Source organism: Homo sapiens, chromosome Y, assembly GCF_000001405.40.
Source record: "Homo sapiens chromosome Y, GRCh38.p14 Primary Assembly".
Classification (NCBI taxonomy): Eukaryota; Metazoa; Chordata; class Mammalia; order Primates; family Hominidae; genus Homo; species Homo sapiens.
This window is the reverse complement of record NC_000024.10, coordinates 24464702-24491292: the sequence shown is the minus strand read 5'-3', so window position 1 is coordinate 24491292 and position 26591 is coordinate 24464702. Positions and strand designations below refer to the sequence as shown.

The following is a 26591-nucleotide window of genomic DNA, read 5'->3' as shown; positions in this document are numbered from 1 at the left end:
AGTATGTGGTCAATTTTGGAATAAGTGTGGTTTGGTGCTGAAAAAAAATGTATATTCTGTTGATTTGGGGTGCAGAGTTCTGCAGATGTCTATTAGGTCCGCTTGGTGCAGAGCTGAGTTCAATTCCTGGGTATCCTTGTTAACCTTCTGTCTCTTTGATCTGTCTAATGTTGACAGTGGGGTGTTAAAGTCTCCCATTATTATTGTGTGGGAGTCTAAGTCTCTTTGTAGGTCACTCAGGACTTGCTTTATGAATCTTGGTGCTCCTGTATTGGGTGCATATATATTTAAGATAGTTAGCTCTTCTTGTTGAATTGATCCCTTTACCATTATGTAGTGGCCTTCTTTGTCTCTTTTGGTCTTTGTTGGTTTAACGTCTGTTTTATCAGAGACTAGGATTGCAACCCCTGCCTTTTTTTGTTTTCCATTTGCTTGGTAGATCTTCCTCCATCCTTTTATTTTGAGCCTATGTGTGTCTCTGCACGTGAGATGGGTTTCCTGAATACAGCACACTGATGGGTGTTGACTCTTTATCCAATTTGCCAGTCTGTGTCTTTTAATTGGAACATTTAGTCCATTTACTTTTAAAGTTAATATTGTTATGTGTGAATTTGATCCTGTCATTATGATGTTAGCTGGTTATTTTGCTCGTTAGTCGATACAGTTTCTTCCTAGTCTTGATGGTCTTTACATTTTGACATGATTTTCCAGTGGCTGGTTCTTGTTGTTCCTTTGAATGTTTAGCGCTTCCTTCAGGAGCTCTTTTAGGGCAGGTCTAGTGGTGACAAAATCTTTCAGCATTTGCTTGTCTGTAAAGTATTTTATTTCTCCTTCGCTTATGAAGCTTAGTTTGGCTGGATATGAAATTCTGGTTTGTAAATTCTTTTCTTTAAGAATGTTGAATATTGGCCCTCACTATCTTCTGGCTTGTAGGGTTTCTGCCGAGAGATCCACTCTTGGTCTGATGGGCTTCCCTTTGAGGGTAACCCGACCTTTCTCTCTGGCTGCCCTTAACATTTTTTCCTTTGTTTCAACTTTGGTGAATCTGACAATTATGTGTCTTGCTCTTCTTGAGGAGTATCTTTGTGGTGTTCTCTGTATTTCCTGAATCTGAACATTGGCCTGCCTTGCTAGATTGGGGAAGTTCTCCTGGATAATATCCTGCAGAGTGTTTTCCAGCTTGGTTCCATTCTCCCTGTCACTTTCAGGTACACCAATCAGACATAGATTTGGTCTTTTCATATAGTCGCATATTTCTTGGAGGCTTTGTTCATTTCTTTTTATTCTTTTTTCTCTAAACTTCCCTTCTCACTTCATTTCAGTCATTTCATCTTCCATCGCTGATACCCTTTCTTTCAGTTGATCGCACCGGCTCCTGAGGCTTCTGCATTCTTCATGTAGTTCTTGAGCCTTGGTTTTCAGCTCCATCAGCTCCTTTAAGCACTTCTCTGTATTGGTTATTCTAGTTATACATTCTCCTAATTTTTTTTCAAGTTTTCAACTTCTTTGCCTTTGGTTTGAATGTCCTCCTGTAGCTCAGATTAATTTGATCGTCTGAAGCCTTCTTCTCTCAGCTCGTCAAAGTCATTCTCCATCCAGCTTTGTTCCGTTGCTGGTGAGGAACTGCGTTCCTTTGGAGGAGGAGAGGCGCTCTGCTTTTTAGAGTTTCCAGTTTTTCTGTTCTGTTTTTTCCCCATCTTTGTGGTTTTATCTACTTTTGGTCTTTGATGATGGTGATGTACAGATGGGTTTTTGGTGTGGATGTCCTTTCTGTTTGTTAGTTTTCCTTCTAACAGACAGGACCCTCAGCTGCAGTTCTGTTGGAATACCCTGCCGTGTGAGGTGTCAGTGTGCCCCTGCTGGGGGGTGCCTCCCAGTTAGGCTGCTCGGGGGTCAGGGGTCAGGGACCCACTTGAGGAGGCAGTCTGCCCCTTCTCAGATCTCCAGCTGCTTGCTGGGAGAACCACTGCTCTCTTCAAAGCTGTCAGACAGGGACATTTAAGTCTGCAGAGGTTACTGCTGTCTTTTTGTTTGTCTGTGCCCTGCCCCTAGAGGTGGAGCCTACAGAGGCAGGCAGGCCTCCTTGAGCTGTGGTGGGCTCCACCCAGTTCGAGCTTCCCTGCTGCTTTGTTTACCTAAGCAAGCCTGGGCAATGTCGGGCGCCCCTCCTCCAGCCTCGCTGCCACCTTGCAGTTTGATCTCAGACTGCTGTGCTAGCAATCAGCAAGACTCCGTGGGCATAGGACCCTCTGAGCCAGGTGTGGGATATAATCTCGTGGTGTGCCGTTTCTTAAGCCGGTCAGAAAAGAGCAGTATTCTGGTGGGAGTAACCCGAGTTTTCAGGTGCGTCCATCACCCCTTTCTTTGACTCAGAAAGAGAACTCCCTGACCCCTTGTACTTCCCAAGTGAGGCAATGCCTGGCCCTGCTTCGGCTTGCACATGGTGCGCGCACCCACTGACCTGCGCCCACTGTCTGGCACTCCCTAGTGAGATGAACTGGGTACCTCAGATGGAAATGCAGAAATCACCATCTTCTGCTTCACTCACCCTGGGAGCTGTAGACCGGAGCTGTTCCTATTCGGCCATCTTGGCTCCTCCAGTGATTTTTAAAATAATATAAATGATAGGTTTCTTCTGTTTAATTGTAATGATTCTTTCAAAGAGATGTTTGGCTTTATTTCTATAATGAAGCAAATTCTGAACATCTTATAATCTGTTCATTATCATATAGTAAATAATAAAGAACAAGTTAATGAATCTCAGTTTTTGTAAGTATTTTAGTGAATAAATTTAATCTCATTTCCATAATCTTTAAGTTTTACTACTGAAGACCAGAATAGACTTTTTTCTTCTTTTGGGAAACTATAAAAGCATGTTCATAATGTTACTTTCATAGATAATATGAATATCAACTGTCAAGTGTGTTGGTTTCTAAAATAAAATATTTTAGAATTGTATTACCAAACATATTCAATGAAATGTTTTAAAGTTGCCTATTTAAAAAATCTGCCAATTTTGAATTGCATATGCAGCTAAAATTTTCTTAAGATAGAGGATAAGATGTAAAATAATTCATACAAATAATATAAACTCAGTTTTCTGAAATTATTTACTTAAGAAATCTAATTACAGTTTAAATAAGTTGTGATCACCTATTAGCCTTTATGCAGCATATTATATTACTAAAATTTTGCATCTAAAATGGTAGCAATTAGAACAAAGTAGAGAAAATACAATAATTGGCATAAAAAATTTCAAGAAAATGAAATGTTTGTATGATGACCTAAATAAAGTAATATGAAGAATGAAAGGATAGTATTAGTTTTACACATTATTGGTCAAAAGTAACCTGAGATATTGTGTAGAAAGTGCTATTAATTATATCTTTGAGACCGTCTTACTGATTTTGGCACTTAGAGAAGCTCCAGCACAGACCCAGCATTCCTTAGGCATTTTTTTCCAGGAGAACATTTAATAGAAATGAAGCAGAAGGTGACTTACACAAAGGTAAATGAATACTTGTCTCCTAGAGACCAGTGGGTGCAGCTTGCTAAAAGAGTAGACCTTTCCTGGAAGTCACGGAAGGGGCTATGGGCAAGCATCTTAGAATAGGGGCCTGGAGCTCCATGAAACACTCCTGCCAGCAGTGATCTCAGAGGGCCACGTGGTAGGTCAGCCTAGGTGCTCTGTCATGTTCCCGGTCCTTGAGTCCTTCCTCACCCACTAGGTATTTCCACAAAGAAATCAGGATGGCAACCACAAGTGCAGCCCCCCTAGAAGGAGATCAAGAGTGTCAAGGATCACATTCTTCTTGGAAAATTCAGTGATTTAGTAACTCGTCAATAAGCTGTAGCAGAATGTGCTGCTCTAACCCACAGAGATCACACTCTAGGAGGAAATTTGGGTGACACCTGCCTGAAGATGTGCATTGGAGGAAGGACGGACAGGTCACCTGGGACTTAGTGAGCAAGTGCCCCTAGCCAATCCGGGGAGACATGGGCTTGGCCAGAGCAGAAAGTAAGGGTGGCATACAGCAGACATGCTGAGCTGTCAGATGGGCACACAAGGGTAGGTATGAGTGGTCCCTGAGTGGGAGAACCCCCTCAAAGCCCTCAACTCACCCAAGAGATCCCCCAGCCTTTTGAACCACAAGCTGTACCTGGAACTCCAGGGTGCGCACTGGGTAGTGGCCTGGTAAAACTTGGGTGAGCAGCCAGTCACTGAGTGACTTCCATTGCCCATGTCTCTAATGAGAAAATTGAATCCCCAAAGTCACAAGCCAGGAGCAGCAAAAGCACTAGGCTGAGGCATCACATTTTTTCTTCACTGGCACCCATAATCCTCAGAACCCCTGGGCTTCCCTTGAGGAAAAATATTCCTCTTCATTGTGAGTGTAGGCCCAAATCAGAGAACTGGCTTGACTGTTCAACTGCACTCAGGCAGTGTGTGTACCATTCCAAGCAGGTCCCATTTACTTCGTGCCTCCAGTTATTTCATCTGCAACATATCACTTGTAACAGCTCTTTCTCTACCCTCCAAATTCTATGGTTTTTGAAATTCCTCTGAAGACCACATGAGCCAAGCATCAAGGATCATTGTTCTTTAGGCTACTCAGGCTATTCCAGGAAGAGAGATCTCTCAAACTACGTTGACACTTAAGAGTCATGTATAGATAGTACCAGATCTAGGAGGAGGGCTGTCAAATATCCAGATTCTTTTCTGGTCTCCATTCCAAAAGATATGTTAAAATGACAAGGAAAATAAGACACAAACCTGACATTTCTCCCTTTAAAAGGGCAGCCTCAGCCTGGCCACACTGAACCAAAATTTCAGGCTCTGGTTCACCTTGACTCACATTGGAAAATACTTGAACTGGGACCCCAGAATGTCCAGTGAAAATCTTGAGAATGGGCACCTCAGCAGCCTGAACACACCTGTAACAGGAACAAACCCTACCAAGTAAGAAGCCATCTCATTTACTTAGAAAACCATACCAGCAATGTGCACACACATCAGGCTTTTTAGATAAACTCCTGTTAATCCAAGGATTCAAGAAAAAGGAAAAAAAAAGTTTGAATCTAGATTCTCAGGAAGAAGAACCTCCACTGCCTGGACCAGCCTGTATGATGGATGCAACTGACAGTGGTAACTTGTCTTGCACATACCTGAAGACTGATCTTATATAAAAAATGTTTCTGAGTGTTCAGAGTTTCAAGCTAAAAATCTACTAGTGGCCTGGCCAGCTGCAGTGGGTCAGGCCTGTACTCCCAGCAGTTTGGGAGGCCAAATCAGATGGATCATCTGAGGTCAGGAGTTCAAGAACCACCTTATCAACATGAAGAATCCTGGTCTCTACTAAAAATACAAAATTAGCCAGGTATCATGGCAAATGCTTGTCATCCTAGCTACTCAGAAGGCTGAGGCAGAGGAATCACTTGAACCTGTGAGGCGGAGGTTTCGGTGAGCTGAGATTGTGCAAACACCCTCCAGCCTGGGCAACAAGAGTGAAACTTCATTTCAAAAAAAAAAAAAAAAAAAATCTAGTAGTGGCCAACCTGGAGATTACTCTTTATCTATGAGGAAAGTCTGAGCCTTTGCTCTCTCCCATGCTGTGGTATGGAGTAGGCCACACAGGGGACTGAGGCCCTTATTTTTTGTTAAATGAAGGACAACAGATAAAAGATTGTTCAGAAAAAATGTGCTTAATAAATATGCTATGCACACTGCATGCTTTTTCCAAGTGGACGTGGTTATCCTGCTAAGCCCACTGACACTGGACTTTCTCTCCTCTATGTAAGTCGCCAGTAAAACTCCATATCCTATTTACTGATTCTGAGTTTCTTCTTTGACATCGTGAACCTGCTGCCATTTACATGGGAGTCAAATTTGACACAACTTACCCCATAATGAGGAAGGATTTCAGATTCTTCTCAATGTGCTTCAAAGCTCAACAAGGCATCAGCTACAGAAGGATGCAGTTGTTCTCTTTACCACTATCACACAGGGCTCGTTTCCTTAGATGCACCTTCAGTGGAATACCAAGAAAGATGAACAAGAAACACGTCATGGTCAGAAGCAACATTAATGACCAAATAAGCAGTGACCACTTGTAAAGCAAAAGGGAGCATTTTGCTTTCTACTCTGGGCAGCCCTCAATGTCTGCCATCACTTTCTGGTTTCAGTAATGGTTTTTAAGCTCCATCGTGGCTCTGGAGAAACCTTAGGCACTAGGTGGTAAACACCTTCACTTAGTCCTGGAGCAACAAAGCTTTCTCTTGTCAAATATGACCTCTGTGATCATGAGCTACTAAGCCATCTAGACAATGCACCACCAGAAAACCTATGAAAGGGAGATGAGTAGACATGAGGGAAACAATTTCCCACTTTTTTCAGTGGCAAGTTCAAACAACTGTGACAGTAGATCACAGAGCAAAAGAAAACAGCATAGTAGAACTCCTCATCATGTAAGATTACAACCAAGACTTTTCTATCCTCAGTGTGAGAGCACCAAATGAAAACCAGAAATTACTTCACTGTGTATCTATCAGTAATTAATTGCACAATATTTTCTCTATCATACTGAAAAGTATTCACTGAGGATTTTCTAATTGAACATGTAGAGATAAAGACAGGAGAATGTAAAATAGCAATTCCATAAAATCATTAAAGAAATTGAAGGTATCCTTGTTAACTTTCTGTCTCATTGATCTGCCTAATGTTGACAGTGGGGTGTTAAAGTCTCCTGTTATTATTGTAGGAATTGAATTCAGCTCTGCACCAGGCGGACCTAATAGATGTCTACAGAACTCTCCACCCCAAATCAACAGAATATACGTTCTTCTCAGAACCACACCCCAACCATTCCAAAATCAACCATATAGTTGGAAGTAAAGCACACCTCAGCAAATGTAAAAAAACAGAAATTATAACAAAATGTCTCTCAGACCACAGTGCAATCAAACTAGAACTCAGGATTAAGAAACTCACTCAAAACCTCTCAATTACATGGAAACTGAACAACCTGCTCCTGAATGACTACTGGGTACCTAACGAAATGAAGTCAGAAATAAAGTTGTACCTTGAGACTAATGAGAACAAACACACAACATACCAGAATCTCTGGGACACATTTAAAGCAGTGTGTAGATGGATATTTATAGCACTATATGCCCACAAGAGAAAGCAGGAAAGATCTAAAATTGACACCCTAACATCACAATTAAAAGAACTAGAGAAGCAAGAGCAAACACATTCAAAAACTAGCAGAAGGCAAGAAATAACTAAGGTCAGAGCAGAATTGAAGGAGATAGAGACATAAAAAGCCTTTCAAAAAACCAATGATTCCAGGAGCTGGTTTTCTGAAAAGATCAACAAAACTGATAGACCACTAGCAAGACTAATAAAGAAGAAAAGAGAGAAGAATCAAATAGATGCAATAAAAAATGATAAAGGGGATATCACAACTGATCCCACAGAAATACAAACTACCTTCAGAGAATACTACAAACACCTCTAGGCAAATAAACTAGAAAATCTAGAAGAAATTGATAAATTCCTTGACACATACACCCTCCCAAGACTAAACCGGGAAGAAGTTGAATCTCTGAATAGACCAATAATAGGCTCTGAATTTGAGGCAATAATTAACAGCTTACCAACAAAAAAAAGTCCAGGACCAGATGGATTCACAGCCGAATTCTACCAGAGGTGCAAGGAGGAGCTGGTACCATTCCTTCTGAAACTAGTCCAATCAATAGAAAAAGAGGAAATCCTCCCTAACTCATTTTATGAGGCCAACATCACCCTAACACCAAAGCCTGGCAGAGACACAACCAAAAAAGAGAATTTTAGAACAATATCCCTGATGAATATCTATGCAAAAATCCTCAATAAAATACTGGCAAACCATATCCAACAGCACATCAAAAAGCTTATCCACAATGATCAAGTGGGCTTCATCCCTGGGATGCAAGGCTGTTTCAACATATGAAAATCAATACACGTAATCCGGCATATAAACAGAAAAGAAACAAAGGCAAAAACCACATGATTATCTCAATAGATGCAGAAAAGGTCTTTGACAAAATTCAACAGCACTTCATGCTAAAAACTCTCAATAAATTAGGTATTGACAGGACGTATCTAAAAATAATAAGAGCTAATTATGAAAAACCCACAGCCAATCTTATACTCAATGGACAAAAACTGGAAGCATTCCCTTTGAAAACTGGCACAAGAAAGGGATGCCCTCTCTCACCACTCCTATTCAACATGGTGTTGGAAGTTCTGGCCAGGGCAATTAGGCAGGAGAAGGAAATAAAGGATTTTCAATTAGGAAAAGAGGAAGTCAAATTGTCCCTGTGTGCAGATGACATGATTGTATATCTAGAAAACCCCATTATCTCAGCCCAAAATCTCCTTAAGCTGATCAGCAACTTCAGCAAAGTCTCAGGACACAAAAGAAATGTGCAAAAATCACAAGCATTCTTATACACCAATAAGAGACAAACAGAGAGCCAAATCATGAGTGAACTGTCATTCACAATTGCTTCAAAGAGAATAAAATACCTAGGAATCCAACTTACAAGGGATGTGAAGGACGTCTTCAAGTAGAACTACAAACCACTGCTCAGTGAAATAAAAGAGGACACAAACAAATGGAAGAACATTCCATGCTCATGGATAGGAAGAATCAATATCGTGACAATGGCCATACTGCCCAAGGTAATTTGTAGATTCAATGCCATCCCCATGAAGCTACCAATGACTTCCTGCACAGAATTGGAAAAAACTACTTTAAAGTTCATATGGAACCATAAAAGAGACTGCATTGCCCAGTCAATCCTAAGCCAAAAGAACAAAGCTGGAGACATCATGCTACCTGTCTTCAAACTATACTACAAGGCTACAGTAACCAAAGCAGCATGGTACTGGTACCAAAACAGAGATCTAGGCCATTGGAACAGATCAGAGCCCTCAGAAATAATACCACACATCCACAACTATCTGATCTTTGACAAACCTGACAAAGACAAGAAATGGGGAAAGGATTCCGCATTCAATAAATGGTGCTGGGAAAACTGGCTAGCCATATGTAGAAAGCTGAAACTGGATTCCTTCCTTACACCTTATACAAAAATTAAGTTAAGATGGATTAAAGATTTAAATGTTAGACCAAAAACCATAAAATCCCTAGAAGAAAACCTAGGCAATACCATTCAGGACCTAGGCAAGGGCAAGGACTTCATGTCTAAAACACCAAAAGCAATGGCAACAAAAGACAAAATTGACAAATGGGATCTAATTAAACTGAAGAGCTTCTGCACAGCAAAAGAAACTACCATCAGAGAGAACAGGCAACCTACAGAATGGGAGAAAATTTTTGCAATCTACTCATCTGAAAAAGGACTAATATCCAGAATCTACAATGAGCTCAAACAAATTTACAAGAAAAAAACAAACAACCCCATCAAAATGTGGGCGAAGAATATGAACAGACACTTCTCAAAAGAAGACATTTACGCAGCCAAAAAACCATGAAAAAATGCTCATCATCACTGGCCATCAGAGAAATGCAAATCAAAACCACAATGAGATACCACCTCACACCAGTTAGAATGGCGATCATTAAAAAGTCAGGAAACAACAGATGCTGGAGAGGTTGTGGAGAATAGGAACACTTTTACACTGTTGGTGGGACATAATATAGTTCAACCATTGTGGAAGTCAGTGTGGTGATTCCTCAGGGAACTAGAACTAGAAATACCATTTGACCCAGCCATCCCATTACTGCGTATATACCCAAAGGACTATAAATCATGCTGCTATAAAGACACATGCACACATATGCTTATTGAGGCACTATGCACAATAGCAAAGACTGGGAACCAACCCAAATGTCCAACAATGATAGACTGGATTAAGAAAGTGTGGCACATATATCCCATGGAATACTACGCAGCCATAAAACAGGATGAGTTCATGTCCTTTGCAGGGACATGGATGAAACTGGAAACCATCATTCTCAGCAAACTATCTCAAGTTCTCACTCATAGATGGGAACTGAACCAAACACCGCAAGTTCTCACTCATAGGTGGGAATTGAACAATGAGAACACATGGACGCAGGAAGAGGAACATCACACACCATGGCCTGTTGTGGCGTGGGGCGAGGGGGGAGGGATAGCATTAGGAGATAGATATACCTAATGTTAAATGACGAGATAATGGATGCAGCACACCAACATGGCACACATATACATATATAACTAACCTGCATGTTGTACACATGTACCCTAAAACTTAAAGTGTAATTAAAAAAAGAGAAAAATACTGTTGTATTATAAAATAAATAAATAAATAAATATAAAAAATTTTAAAAGAAAAAACGTAGGGAAACTTTTTTAACTAAAAAACACTCAAGCACAGAGAAAACATTCATAGAACAGACTGAGAGACTCCAAGAATCTCTAGTCTAAAAAATTGGCAACATGTTTTTAAGACAAAGGACACTTAGTAAAGATTTTGACATATAGCTTTTTGTTATACAAATTGTAACCTAAGATTACAAGACATACAAATCGTCAGATAATATGATTAAACCAAAACTAAAAATAAACATTCAGGAATCAATTATTATGAAATGAAGATGGAAAAATTACCCGAGAAAATTTGATTTAAATTCTAGATCTATTTTTGAAAAGAAAAAATAAATTACCTTAACAATCAAAATTATCATCTCAAAGATGCTCAGTGAGTAAAGTGGAAATAAAGAAAACAAAATAAAAGAACAAAAATGAAGCCAACAAAAAATGGAAAGCACAGAAAGAAATAAAAATTTTGGCATATAAGTCCAAAAAGCAATATGCACTTCGACATTAGTAAAAAAATAAGAAAATCAAGAATCTTAGAAAATTTTAACTAAGTTTAACAAAAAGAGATTTCTAACAAGACAAAACATAACCAGTTTTTGTAAGTCAAAGACTTGAAGAGAATCTGAAATGCACGAAGCAAAGAGATGTGTTATTTGTATGCATGGTTCTGCAAGATTACCAGAAAATTTATGAACATAAATATTTCAGGCAAGAAGAGAGGAGAATGACATAGTCAAAACATAGGAAAAAGAGTCTAAGCAAGAATACTGTATCCTTCAAAATAAAAAAAAATCTAACTACATCAAGATCTATATCAAGATCTCTGTCATGGCTTCAAGAGACTCACTTCAGAGCCAATAAAAACATAAACTGAAAATGCCAGGATGAAAAATACATTCCATGCAAATGTTCACCAAATGAGAGGAGAAGAGGCAAAAATATATTAAGTTGACAACTGTAATATTTAACAAAAGTTACTTTTAGTCAAATTTCACAAGAAACAAAGTAGTACATTCAATTATAGTAAAAGGTTTCATTAACAGACAACCTGCAAATATATGAAACTTTTCCCAAACACATGAAGCAAACATTGACAGAATTGATGCAAAAATAGACAGCAATATAATAATGGATGCATACATCAATATCTCACTTTCAGTAAAAAATAAACAAGACAGAATATCAATAAGGAAACAAAATAATTGAATGCACTATACAATCATTACACTTAATAAATGTATACAGACAACAGAATACACATTCTTTTCAATAGCTTATAAAACATTTTTCTACACAGACAACCTGTAACACCAGAAAAGAAGCCTTTACGATTTTTTAATTGAAATTTTACAATTATTTACAGCCCAAATGGAATGAAACTAGAAATTAGTAAAAGAAGAAAAGCTGAACAATTCAAAAAATAAAAATATTAAAATACACAGTTTTTTTTTTCTTTTTTAAATTTCTTTTTTGATGGAGTATCACTCTGTCACTAGGCTGGAGTGCAGTGGCACAATCTTGGTTCACTGCAACCTCCAGTTTCTGGGGACAAAGGATTCTTCTGCTTCAGCCTCTCAAGTAGCTGCAACTACAGACATGTACCACCAGGCCCAGCTAAGTTTTTTGTATTTTAGTAGAGATTGGGTTTTGCCATTTTGCCAAGAATTTTCTCACTCTGCTGACTTCTCCATGCACCCTCTTCGGACTCCCAAAGTACTGGGATTACAGGCACAAGCCACCATCCTCAGCCAACAACACAACTTTGAGTAGGCTTTATTTCAAGGGTTGGAAGACATAATATTGTGAAGATGTCCATGCTGCTTAGTGACCCAATACTCAACACACCTCTTTTTAATTTTAATTATATTTTTCAAAAATAGAAAAAAAAAACCTGTAAGATCTCAAAGGACTATAAAAAGCCTGACAATCTTGAAAAAGAAGAAAAATATTCGAAGCCTTACATTTAACAATTTTCAAACACGCACAAAAACCTACAGTAACCAAAGAATTTTGGTACTGGTATAAAAGTAGAACACTAAAGTAATGAAACAGAATGCAGCACGGAAATAAACCCTTGAATGGAGAAGAGAGAAATACCACCTAGGTTTTGTAATCAATCATATGTCACAATTCCTTTGACAAGCAATACTCAGGCAGGGGAAGAGAATTACACTTCCTAGATGCTAGTTTCAGCGATATTTCTAAATGTCCTCAGGGGGTTGAGCACGGGCTGGAGAGGCATATCACCTAGCTGATAGGCCCAGCGATATGTGATAATATCCCCTGTTGACAAGGCTCCTGCAAAAGAGTAACATTATTATTATTCTGACCAAGTGATATGTAAGAATGCGCCCATGGAAAAAAAAATTAAGCCACAATCTCACAACACCTCGATATTAGGCCCAGTGACATGACACAATCTCATGATTTTTGAGGTTGACACTTTTAACTTTTAGGTGAGGGTGTATATTAGAAACATGTGAGCTGGGTCAATATATGAAACTCTGTACAACATCTCAGGGCTTTATAAAACCTGCAGGAAGAGGCAAGGTATGGTGGCTCATGCCTGTAATCCCAGCACTTTGGGAGGCTGAGGTGGGTAGATCACGAGGTCAGGAGTTCAAGACCCATCTGACCAAGATGGTGAAACCCCGTATCTACTAAAAATACAAAAAATTGGCCAGATGTGGTGGCAGGCACCTTTAATCCCAGCTACTTTGGAAGCTGAGGCAAAAGAATCGCTTGAACTCATAGGAAAGATGTCACAGTAAGCTGAGATCACATCACTGCACTCCAGCCTGGGTGACAGAGTGAGAGTTCATCTCAAGAAAAAAAAAAAAAAAGAAAAAAAAAAGAAAAAAAAGAAAAAAACCTCCATGAAGATTGTAAACCTCTCTGAGGCCTAGGTGCTCATATGGACTTACAATCTTACATATTGTCCTAAGCCTAAGTTTGATAGTCAACATCTCTCCTATAGTCAGGGTTAAGGGAGAAGACCCATTATTATGTCTGTGGGCTGGGTCCAGAAATGAGTCATCTTTCCACATGTGGCCAGATCAACATATAAAAGTCACAATTCCACCTCTGCTGTATTTCCTTGTTACACTCAGGACTTCAAAAGTGGGCTTTGTAAATGTGGGATGGTGAAAACTTGTAATTTCACCTGGGTGCATAACTGAAAGTCCCAATCTAATCTTTTTGTGGGGTCCTGTTGTGAAACTCCCTACCAACAAAGAGGTTATACAATATAAGTTAGTGTTGTAAGCTTCTGTCAGCTTTGAATATATATGCAACCCCAGAGTTTATCTATTGCCCTAAGCTTAGCAATGAGAGGCAAAATATCTCCTATTGGCTGAATCCAAATATAAGTTTGATCATCATGCCTGTGAATTGAAGCAAGGTATATGTCATAATCCTATTTGTGGGCATAAAACTAGGCAGGAGGGTAACATCACTTAGATACTGTGTCACAGTGCCTTGTGATGCTGTGTCACAATGCCTTCTCTAGGCAGGGTATGATAAATTGGGTCACATTAGCTGGGTACTCAACCCAGCAATATGATACCGTCCCACTTGTGGAAAAAATCCAGCCAAGTTATGAGAGCCAAAACACCTACATAGTGGGCCCAAGATATGTCAAAACAAACAAACAAACAAACAAACAAAAACCTTCGGTGGCTCCAGTATAGGCAGGAGAGACACATTGTAAGGGTGCTGGGCCCAGCAATATGCAATATGCCATCAATTTTTCTTTATGCAGAACCCACACTAAAGAGTAACATCATCTGGGTGCTGGGCCATGCAATAAGTCAAAATTTGTTATTTTGTGGGCATGGATTAGGAAAAAGAGGTGAGTCACCTATCCTGAGTGCTGGGCTCAGCAATGTGCCAAAATCCTTCTATTGTGAAGGTCCAGGCAGACAAAGAACATCATATCACTTAGGTCATGGGCTCAGAGATATGTCCAATATCTCCAGTAGGCGAGGCTCAGGTAGATGAGGAGAGTCATATCATCTACGTGCTTCCCTAGAAATATGTCACAATGTAACACATAGACAGAAACCAGGTAGGGGAGCCACATCACTTGGGTGCTGGGTCCTGAGATATGTCACAAGGCTCTCTTAGGACAGCACCCAGCAAAGAGTTACATCATCTAGGTGTAGATTTTCTGCTTATTCCACAATGTTTTATTTGGGTAGGTCTAAAGGAGGGAGCCACTTCATCTAGGCGGTAGACCCCAAGGTATGTCACAATGTCCTCTATGAAGTATAGTCCTGGCAAAAGAGTACCATCAACTGTGTGCCTGGCCTAGAAATATATTACTCCAGGTTGGCAAGGCCCAAGCAGGAGAGCCATATAACCCAGGTGACAGGCCTGGATATAAATCACAGTGCCCTCCCTTGAACATGGCTTTGGCAAAATAGTACCCTCAACTGTGTGCCTGGCCTTGCAATATGTCATTATCCATCCTTTGTGTATGGCCCATTCCAGAGAGCAGAGATACATCACCTATAATGGGGGCATAGAAATATATGCAATAATTTTGGTGGACATGGCACAGGCAAGAATGTAACATCAGCTGGGTGCTAGATTCAGATGTATGTCACCATCCTTACTTAGAGAAGGGCCCAGGCAGGAGAATAACATCACCTTGAGGTTGGCCTAGCTAGATAGCACAATACCATATTTGGGCCGGAATAAGTCTGCAGAGTCAAATTATACAGGTGCTTGGCAAAGATTTATATCACAATCACAGTGTCAGATAATTGCAAAGGTGAGATTTACAGTACCCCACATATCCTTTTTTTCATGTGTGACATTTGGCTTTATCCGTGTGAGATGATGACAGCCTTTACTGTCAGCTGGGTGTGCATGCAAGACTCACAATTTAACCTGTGTTCTGAGCCCTGCTACAACTCTGTCTCTATAACCCAAAGACTTTGTAAAATATATGCGAATGTTGTAATCTTTTGTGGCATTTGTATAAGAACGTTATTCAGGATATCATGCATGTACCTAAACTTGGTTATAAGAGTCAAAATAACCTCTGTTAGCTGAATCCCCATATGACAATCATCATCATTCCTTTGAACCATGCCTAGGTACATATTACAATCCTCTGTATGGCTATGAAGCAGGTGGAACAGCCATATTATTGAAATGCCGGGCCAGAATTATTCCAATATTCTCTTTGTAGGCAAAGCTTTGTCAGAAATGCCACCAAACTTTTGTGCTAGGTCCAAATATGTTGCACAGTGTCCTTTGTGTGAGGTGTCAGAGCAGGAGAGTAGAGACATTTCACCTAAATGGTGGGCCCAAAAATTTGTAACAATGCCTCCTGTTAACAGGGCCCAAGCACAGTAGTCATATCACTTGGGTGCAGTGTTTAGAAATGCTACAATTACCAAAGGAAGCAGAATACAGGCAGTAGAGGGTAGAGGAGAGTCCCGTAACCTAGTTGATGGGTCCAGAAATCTATCACAATCCCCGCTGAGGATTGTACTAGCACAGTCAAATCACCAAGGTGCTTGGCCCAGGTATATGTCAAAATCTCTTTTGTGGGCTATACCTGGCAAATTATTAAATCATTCTGGAGCTGGGAAAAGGTTTATGTCACAATTATACTTGTGGGGAGGTTTAGAAATAAGAGTCATTATCTTGCACATGTTCTGGCTCCAGGTATATGAGTTGTTATAAGGCTTTTATTATGGTGTCAGATATATGGCACAATATCACCTGTGGACACAGAGAAGGCAAGAAAGTCAAATCACCTACTTGGGTGTGGGTCCTGCGAGATGTCACAATACCCCTTGTGTGAAGGTCTTTGTGGGAAAGTCACATCACCTGGCTGCTGGTTTCAGTGACATATCAAAAACTCCTCTGTGGGCAGGACTTTGGAAAAAGAGGAGACACAATTCACTTAGGCAACTGGCCTAGGTATATTTCATAGTGTCTTTTCTGTACAGTACCAAACCTGGAGCATGATCACACATTGGTGCTGGACCCAACAATATGTCACAATCTCCCTGTAATCAAGACAAAGGCTAAAGCAAAAAAGAAACACAACTTAGGTGTTGAGCCAAGTGATACATTACAATGCTTCCTGTTGGCAGATCCCAGGAAGGAGAATCACATCACCTGGGTGCATTGCACACTTATGTGTCACAATGTACTGTAAGTGCTTGTCCAAGGCAGTATAAGGTTGTCACATCACATACATGATGGACCGAGATACGAGACACAATTCTATTTGCAGGCAGGTTTCAGGCAGATAATTCACTTTACCCAGGTGATGGTCCAGGAATATATAAAAGTGTCATTTTGTAGGCATAGCCAAAGAAGGTGTTATACATGGCTTACGTGTCTGTTCCACGTATGGCACAATTTCATTCTAGGCTTTGGCCTAGAAGAGACTGTCAAATTATTCATATGCTGGGCAAATTTACCTGTCTCAATCATACTCTTAGAAACATTGAGAAATATGTTTTTTATCGCACATGAATCCTGGTTTTGTGTATTTGAGTTAACTCTTTCTATGAGTTGGGTCGAAGTAGAGGAGTCACAATCCCAACCATGGGCAAGATCCATGTATAGTAGCCTCAATCCTACTTGAATATCATGTTCCAGTAGGAGAGTCAGAGCATCACAAGTGTGCTGAATCATGTTTCAAATATTACCAAACTACCTGTGAATCAGATCCATGTACTATAGTAATTATTTCAAGCTTTGACTGCTTTTTATGAGTGAGATTTAGTATCACATTCCTAGGCCCTGTTTATGTGTCAGAATGACTACCGTGTCAGCTAGGTGTGCATACAAGAGTCACGTTCTCACCTGGTTGCTGTTCTCTGTTATGACACTGTTATGACGCTGTTATGTACCAATAAGGCTTTATATGATATACCACAGCGTTATAATCCTTCATGAATATTATGCAAGTGAAAAACCCAGGACCTTACCCATGGCAGTGCAACTGGCTATGAGAGTCACACCATCCCTACTGGCTGGGTCCAGGAATGAGAGTCATTATTGCACATGTGTGCTTATCCCAGTTATATGTCACACTTTCACCTATGAGCTGGGACAATGTGGGAGAGTCACATAACCTGGGTACTGAGCCACTGACACAATATGGTCTCATTTGTAGGCTGGGCCTAGTCAGAAGGGTCAAATCAGTAGATGTTGGGCTCTGCAAAATGTAATAATTCCCTCTCTTGACAGAGTTTAGGATATGAAGGAGAGTCACATCACCTATGTTTTGTAATCAGTGGTATGTCACCACATCTGTGGTAAGCAGGACCCCGTCAGGAGAAGAGAGTCACATGACCTAGATGTTTGGTCAAATGATATTTCACCATGTACTCTGGGGGTGGGTACAGGCAGGAGAGACAAATCACCTATCTCTTAGGCCCAGAGATATGTGATAATATCCCTTGTTTGCAGGGTCCAGGCAGAAGTAACAAGATTATGATTCTAACCCTGCAATATGTCAAAATGCATCTATGGGGAAAAAATTAAGCCAAAAAGTCTCAACACCTGGGTACTAGGCCTAGTAATAGGTCAAATCTTTTGTTTTTGTGGGTGATATCATTAAATTGAGCTGGGTGTGTATATGAGATTCACAATATCATGTGTTCTTTGGGCTATTGTATGACACTCTACAACATTTGAAGGCTTTATACAGCATGCATCAGGGTTGCAAACTACTCTGAAGCCTATGTGCTCAGAGGGATTCATGAGCTTACCTATATCCCTAAACCCATGGATAATAGTAAACATCTTTTATGTGGGATGGTTTTAGGTATGAGACCCATTATTATGCCTATGAGCTGGAAACAGAAATAAGTCACCATCCCACCTGTGGCCAGATCCACATATGAAGGTCAAAATTCCAACCTGGTACTGTATTCACTTGTTAGACTCACGGTGTTAACAGTGGGCTTTGGACATGTGGGATGGTGACAACATTTGCTTTTACCTGGGCATGTAATTGAAGGTCCCAATCTGAATTTTCTGCTGGTCCCTGTCATGAAACTCTCTGTACCAATCAAGCAACTTATACATTATGAGTTAGTGTTGTAAAGTTCTGTGAGCGTTCTACAAATATGCAACCAAGGACCTTACTTATTGCCCTATGCCTAGTGATGAAAGGCAAAATATCTCCTATTGTCTGTATCCAAGTTTAAGTTTGACCATTATGCCTGTAAACTGAAATAAGGTATATGTCATAGTCCCATTTGTGGGCAAAAAACTAGGCAGGAGGGTAACGTTACTTAGGTGCTGTGCCAAGTAACATGTCCCAATGTCCTCTCTAGGGAGTGTATAGGAATTAGAGTCACATTAACTAGATGCTGGACTCAGCAATATGCCCCCATCTCAAATGTGGGAAAAAATCCAGGCTGGGCACCATGCCACACGCCTGTAATCCCAGCACTTTGGGTGGCCAAGGCAGGCAAATCACGAGGACAAGAGTTCTAGACCAGCCTGACCAACATAATGAAACCCCGTCTCTACTAAAAATACAAAGATGAGCCGAGCATGGTGGCACATGCCTGTAATCCCAGCCACTCAGGAGGCTGAGGCAGGAGAACAGCTTGAACCTAGGAGGCGGAGGTTGCACTGAGCCGAGATCACACCATTGTACTCCAGAGCTCCAGGCTGGGTGACAGAGCAAGATTCCATCCCCCCACCAAAAACAAACAAACAAACAAATAAAATAAAAATAAAAAAATAAAAAAGCCAAGTTACGACAGACAAAACACATACATAATGGGCCCAGGAGAGGTCAAAATACTTTCTTTGGCTCTGGGACAAGCATGAAAGTCACATTAACAGGGTGCTGGGCCCAGAAATCTGCAATAATTATCTCTATATGCAGGACCCAGGTAAAAGACTAACATCATCTGTGTGTTGGGGTCCTGCAATAGGTCAAAATTTATTGTGTGATCATGGTTCAAGAAAAAAGAAAAAAGTAAAATAACCTGAGGGCTGGGCTCAGCAATATGGCATAAACCACTGTTATAAAAGCCAGGGAGAAGAAGCAGTCTCTTCACTTAGGCCAAGGGCTCATAGATGTTCCCCACTGCAGACAAATATCTGCAGGGCCCAGGCAGAAAAGGAGAGTCATATCACCTAGGTACTTCCCTAGTTATACATCACAATCCAACATTTGGGCAGAAATTAGACAGAAGAGACATATCACTTGGGTACAGCCTGTAATAATATGCCAGATCCCCAATGTAGACAGTTTTGAAGAAGAAAAAGAGAATCACACTGGCTGGGTGCTAAGCTCAGAATTATGAAATAAAGCCTGGCAGAGTTTAGGAAAAAAAGGAAAGTCACGTCACCAAGGTATTTCACTCAGTAATATGTCACAATTTCTTCAGCCGGCAGAATCCAGGCAGGAGGGGAGAGTCACATTACCTAGATGCTATATCTCACGATATGTCATAGTGCCCCTGTGGGCAGGACACTGGCAGGGAGACATATCAGGTAGCCAATAGGCCCAGAGATATCTAAAAATATTCCCTGATTAAAAGGTCCAGCCAGAAGAATCACATTATCATGATTCTGAACCAGTGATATGTAACAAAGTGCTTATAGAAAGGAATTTAAACCAAAAAGTCTCAACACCTGGGTACTAAGCAAATGGATATGACACATCTTTTCATTTTTAAGGGCGAAAATATTAACTGTTAGCTAGTTGTGTATATGAGAGCCACAGTCTCACATATGTACTGGTCATTGTATGGCACTCTCTATAACATCAGGGAACTTTGTTCAGCATGCATCAGAGTTGCTAAACTTTCTGAGGCTTACATGTTTATATGGACTCATGATCTTATATATAGCCATAAACCCAGGCATGACAGAATACAGATTTCCTATACACTGGACTCAGGAATGAGACCACAATTATGCCTGTTACCTGGAGCCAAAAATGAATCACCATCCTATATGTGGCCACATTCACTTATGAATGTCACAATTCCAACTTTCTGCTGTATTTACTTGTTAGACTGAGGACCTCAACAATGGGCTTTGTAAATTGAGAATATGTAGTCAAGAGTCACAATCTTAACTTTTTGCTGGGCCCTATTATCAAACTCTCTATACCAGCCAAGAAGTTTCTCTGATATGATTTAGTATTGTAAATTTCAGTGAGTTCTGCACAAGTATGCAATGAAGGACCTTAACTATTGACATAAACATAGTTGCTTGAGGCAAGATATCCCCTGTTGGCTGAATCCCAATATAAGCTTGATCATCTTACCTTTGAACTGAAGCAAGGTATATATCCTAATCCCATTTGTGGGCAAGAAAATTAGGCAAAAAGTTAAAATCACTTAACTGATGTGCCACACAACATGTCACAGTGTCATCTCTAGGCAGGGCCTAGAAAAGAGGGTCACATGAACTGGGGGCTGGAGCCACCAATATGATACAAACTCATGTTGAAGAAACCCAGAAAAGTGATGAGGTCAAAACACCTAAAGAATGGGCCAATAATATGTCAAAATACCTTCTGGAGCTCTGGCAGAAGGAGGAGAGTTACATCATTGGAGTACTGGGCTGAGCAATATGCTATAATGTTTCCATTTATGCATGACCTAGGCAGAAGAGTGACATAATCTGGGTGCTGGGCCCTGAAGCACAGGAAAAGTCCTGTTTGTGGGCATTGTTCAGCAAGAAAACAAAAGACACATTACCTAAGTGCTGGACTCATTAATATGTCAGAATATTCCCATCAGAGAAGCACAGACAGAGGAAGAGTCAAATGACTTAGGTCATGGGCTCAGAGATGTGTCTCAGTGTCACCAGTAAGCTGGGCTCAAGCAGAAAAAGAGAGTCATATAACCCAGTTGTTTCCTTAGGTATATGTCATAATTTAATATGTGGGCAGAAACCAGGCTGAGGAAACACATCACCTGATTCTTGGTCCTGATGTATTCACATCACTTGTCACCCTTAGAAAAGGACCCAGGCAAGGGAGATACATCACCTAGGTCCAGATTCCACCCTTATGTCACAATGCCCCATGTGGGCAGGACCAAGCAGGAAGTCACATTAATTAGGTGATAGCCACAGAGATATGTCAAAAAGTCTTCCCTAAAGCATGGCTCTGGCAAAAGAGCATCATCACCTTTGTGCCTGGCCTAGCAGTATGTCACTCTTCAAGTGGGCAGGTCCTATAACCTACATGATAGGCCCTGTGATATGGCAAAATGTCCTCTTTGAGGAATGGCCCTGGAAAAATAGTATCATCAGTGATGTGCCTGGCCTAGGAATGTGTCATCATCCATCCCTGTGTGCAGGGCTCATTCCAGAGAGGAGAGTTACATCTCCTAAGTGATGGACACAGTGATGTTGTTAAGATGTTTCTGGGCATGGTGCAGACACTAATGTAAAGTAACCTGGGAGCTGGATCCAGCGATGTCACCATTCTTACTGAGCATGATCCAGGCAGAAGAGTCACAGCACTTTAAAATTGGCTTAGGTAGATGTCAAAATCCCATATGTTGGCTGGAACGAGTCAGAAGAGTAAAATCACACAGATACCTGACAAAGATTTATATCACAATTATGATGGAATAAAATACCACACATGTGCTGTTTTCATGTAGGACAGTTGCCTCCATCCATCTGTAATAGTGAAAGTCCTTACTGTCAGCTGGGTCTCAGCATTGGAGACCCAGAATCCCTTTTGTGTGCTAGGCCCTGTTATGACACTCTCTATACAACCCAAGGGTGTTATAAGATATGCGTGAGTTTTGTAATCTTCTGTGACATTTTACAGAAGAAGATCCTGGAAATCACTCAGGTACATGAACCTAGAAGAGTCAAAATTTCTCCTATTGGCTTGGTCCACCTATGAGAGTCATTATTATGCCTTTTAGCTGTGCCTAAGTATATGTCACCATCCCCTTTGTGGTTATTAAACAGGCAGGAAAACCATGTCACCTAAATCCTAAGCCAGAAATATTCCAATATTCTCTTTGTAGGCAAAACACGAACAGAAATCTCACAAATATGGGGTGTTAACCCAACTCTATGGCATAATGCCTCCTATGGAGATTGTCCAGGCAGGAAAGGAGAGTCATACCACCTAAATGATGGCACAGAAATATGTCACAATACCTACTATTGAAAAGGTTAGGCAAGAGGGTTATGTCATTTGGATGCAGTGCTTAAAAATGCTACACTCTTCACAGGAAGCAGGGTTCAGACAGGAGAGGAGAGTCACATAAGCTAGACGATAAGTCTAGAAATATGTTATGATTTCTTCTGAGGATAGTGTTAAGACACAAAATTCAAATCACTGTTGTGGGAAGTCAGGGAACCCGAACAGAGGGGCTGGCTGAAGCCATGGCAGAAGAACATAAATTGTGAAGATTTCATGGACATTTATCACTTCCCCAATCAATACTCTTATAATTTCCTATACCTGTCTTTACCTTAATCTCTTAATCCCAGTATCTTCATAAGCTGAGGATGTGTGTCACCCCAGGACCCTGTGATGATTGTGTTAACTGAAAAACTTGTTCATAAAGCATGTGTGTTTGAACAATACGAAATCTTGGCACCTTGAAAAAAGAACAGGATAACACCAATGTTCAGGGAACAATGGAGATAATCATTAGGTCTGACTGCCTGGGAACCAGGCAGGACAGAGTCATATTTCTCTTATTACTGAAAATGGGTAAGAGAAATATTGCTGAATTCTTTCCTCAGTAAGGAATACTAATAATTAACAGCCCTGGGAAAAGAATACACTCCTCGGGGGAGGGGAGCCTCTAAAACGGCCACTCTGGGAGTGTCTGCCTTATGCAGTTGTAGATAGGGATGAAACATGCCCTAGTCTCTGGCAGTGTCCACAGGCTTGCTAGGATTAGGAAATTCCAGCCTGGTGAATTCTAGTCAGACTGGTTCTCTGCTCTTGAACCCTGTTTCTGTTAAGACATTTGTCAATGACAATGCATGCACAGTGGGACATGAAACTCCATCAGCAATTCTAGTTTCACCCTGGCCTTGTGACCCTGCCCCACCCATTCGCCTTGTGATGTTTTATTGCCTTTGAAGCATGTGATCTCTGTGACCCACACCCAATGTGTACACTCCCACCCCTTTGAAATTTGCTAATTAAAAACTTTCTGGTTTTGCAGCTCAGGGGGCATCATGGAACCTGCTGACATGTGATGTCTTCCCCAGACAACCAGCTTTAAAATTTCTCTCTTTTGTACTCTTTCCCTTTATTTCTCAGACATGCCTGCACTTAGGGAAAATAGAAAAGAGTCTATATTGAAATATTGGGGGCTGGTTCCCCTGATATCTGGTGCACCAATGTGTTTTTTTCTTTTTCCTAAGTGCATGTGGGAATCCAATTCCCTTTGGTAGGTAGGTGTGGAGAAACATCATCGGTTTGGTCCACAGAAACACTTGTTCAACTCCCTGATGATTTGTGAGTAGTCTGTGAATTTGTCTGGGTTAACTATGGGTCATACAGAGTCTAAAAATTATACTTATCTCTTCTATATTAAACTCCAGTTAAAAGAGGAAAGGGTTTGAGTGCCCATGGAAAAATATGATCACTCTATTCAAGAGAGTGGGAAAATACTGTCCTTGGTTTCCTGAAAAAGGAAACTTAGATGTAGACCTGTTAAAACGGGGAAGGGTCTAAGTAACCATGGAAAATATGGTGACTGTATTCAGGGCAGTGGAAAAATACTGTCCTTGGTTTCCTGAAAAAGGAAACTTATATGTAAAATTATGGGATCATGTTGGTTCAATATTCTGGGAACTTGTCTCGACAGGGAATTATGTTCCCATCGCTGTGTGGGGTGATTGGGCCTTGGTACATGCTGTCCTAATACCTCCTCAACTTTCCTTTCCCATACCGCCTTTGTTATCTGCTCAGCCTCTCCCTTCACCTACTCCTCCCCCCACCTAACGATGCTGAAAATTCAGTGTCTAACTCCAGTAACTTTGGCTTAATGTTACCCCCTGCTGACCTTATTTCTTTTCATGAAAAGCCAGTACTTGTAACTCCCGTGGCCCCAACTCCTACAGCCCATTTCCATATATGTGGTAATTCTTCTCTCTTCAAACCTCTGGTGTCAGCTAATGGCTCTGGAACCAAACTACAATTTACCTTTAATTCTCCAAGCACTCCCCCATCCATCGCATCCCCGCACCCTCCTGTCATTTCAGTTCCTCAACCGGTCTGCATCATTGTGTACCTCTCAATCTTACCTTTTTAAAAGAATTTAAGGATGCTTGTACTCAGTATGACCCTACTTCTCCTTATGTTAAAATGGTATTACAAACTTTTGTACAGAGGTCATTTTCCTTCCTTTAGACTGGGACCTTTTGGCAATAGCTGTTCTAACCCATCTCAGCATTTACAGTTTTGTACCTGGTGGTCAGAGAAGGCCTATTTGCAGGCTCAGCTAAATTTGACTAATGGCATTCTAACTACTCAGGCTCAGCTCACAGGGTCTGATAATTTCTCTGATACTTATGCCCAATTAAACTTTGATGCTCTTACCACAGAACAAGTAGCAAAGGTGTGTATGAGAGCTTGGGATAAATTACGCACCCTAGGCCAAGCTCCTGCTTCTTTTACTACTGTTAAACAAGGTCACACTGAATTATACCCTGATTTTTTAGCTAAATTACAAGATGCTGTTGAAAAATCTGTCTCTAATTATCATGTTCAAGGTGTTCTCCTTTGTATGTTAGCTTTTGAAAATGTGAACCATGAGTGTAAGATGGCCATGCATTCCATCCAATGACAAAATTTACTGGATCACGAGATGTTGCCTGCATACATTAAAGTTTAATCTGACACACCTGTGAGGATTAAACACCTGCAGTGGCTTCTAAAGAAAACTGGAGGGTTTAACTCAATTAGTTTCTGAACAGTTACAACTTGGTAATGCAGAATTTTCCCTTTTCCCCTGGAATTCTACTGTGTTTCTAGTAAAAAAAGAAATCAGGAAAGTTGCAGATGGTAACTCATTTAAGGGCCACTAATACTGTAATTAAACCTATGGGAGTCATCCAACCTGGCATGCCTGCCCCTGCTTTAATATCTAAGTTTTGACCTCTCATTTGATCTTAAAGATCATTTTTTATATTGCTTTACATGAATTGAATTGTGAAAAATTTGCTTGTACTTTACCATCTATCAATAATCAGGAGCCTGCAGCTCGTTATCAATGAAAGCACTTCCTCAGGGAATGCTGAATAGCCCTACAATCTGCCAGCTTTATGTTAGACAAGTGCTTTCACCAGTTTGAGCCCAATTCCCCAGGCCTATATTCTTCATTATATTGATGATATTTTAGTTGCCACCCCCCTTCATAAAGAATTAATTGACTGTTATCAAATTTTGAGCCATTGTGTTACAGAGGCTGGATTGCACATCACTCAGAATAAAATTCAGCAGACCACTCCTGTTTGATATTTAGGAATGGTGGTTGATAAACAACGTATTCAACCTCAAAAAGTTCAAATTAGGAGAGATTCTTTGAAAACTTTAAAGACTTCTGAAACCTTTGGGTAACATTAATTATTTAAGACCTACTTTAGGCATTCTGACCTATGCACTGTCTAACTTGTTTTCTACACTGTGGGGAGATTCCAATCTCTGCAGTTCCAGGAGTTTGACACATGAGGCTTCACCAGGACTGGAATTCATAGAGGGAAGAATCCAGACTGCCCAGCTATCTAGAGTACAGCCATTTCAGCCTTTTCAGCTTCTAGTTTTTGCTTCCTTGCACTCCTCTACTGGGCTAATAGTTCAACATAATGATTTAATAGAGTGGTGTTTTCTTCCCCATTCTGTGTCAAAAGCTTTGTCTGTTTATCTGGCCCAACTGGCCATCTTAATTGAACAAGCTTGGTGTAAAATACTTGAAATTTCTGGATTTGATCCAAATTTAATTGTAGTTCCTTTAAATTGGCTCAAAATTCAAGCCACCTTTCAACATTCTGTACTGTGGCAAATTCACTTGGCTGATTTTATTGGCGTTATTGACAATCATTATCCAAAAAACAAATTGTTTAATTTTATAAAAATGACATCTTCGGTGGTCTCTTGCTTAACCAAAGACCAGCCCATTCCTGAGGCCATTACAGTGTTCACTGATGGCTCCAGTAATGGAAATGCTGGCTATGTGGGTCCTACAGACAAGCTTATTTCTACCCTTTATACC

At 40.5% G+C, this 26591-nt stretch overlaps 1 long non-coding RNA gene across 1 annotated transcript; it reads right to left on the bottom strand.

Moving 5' to 3' along the window:
* Positions 1 to 4829: 4829 nt before the first annotated feature.
* On the bottom strand, positions 4830 to 5961 carry TTTY17B (testis expressed transcript, Y-linked 17B). The gene is made up of 2 exons (NR_002180.1): positions 5902 to 5961; positions 4830 to 4935 (listed from the first exon to the last, which is right to left on the bottom strand). It is a non-coding gene; the product is annotated as a testis expressed transcript, Y-linked 17B (long non-coding RNA).
* Between the last annotated feature and the right edge of the window lie 20630 nt (positions 5962 to 26591).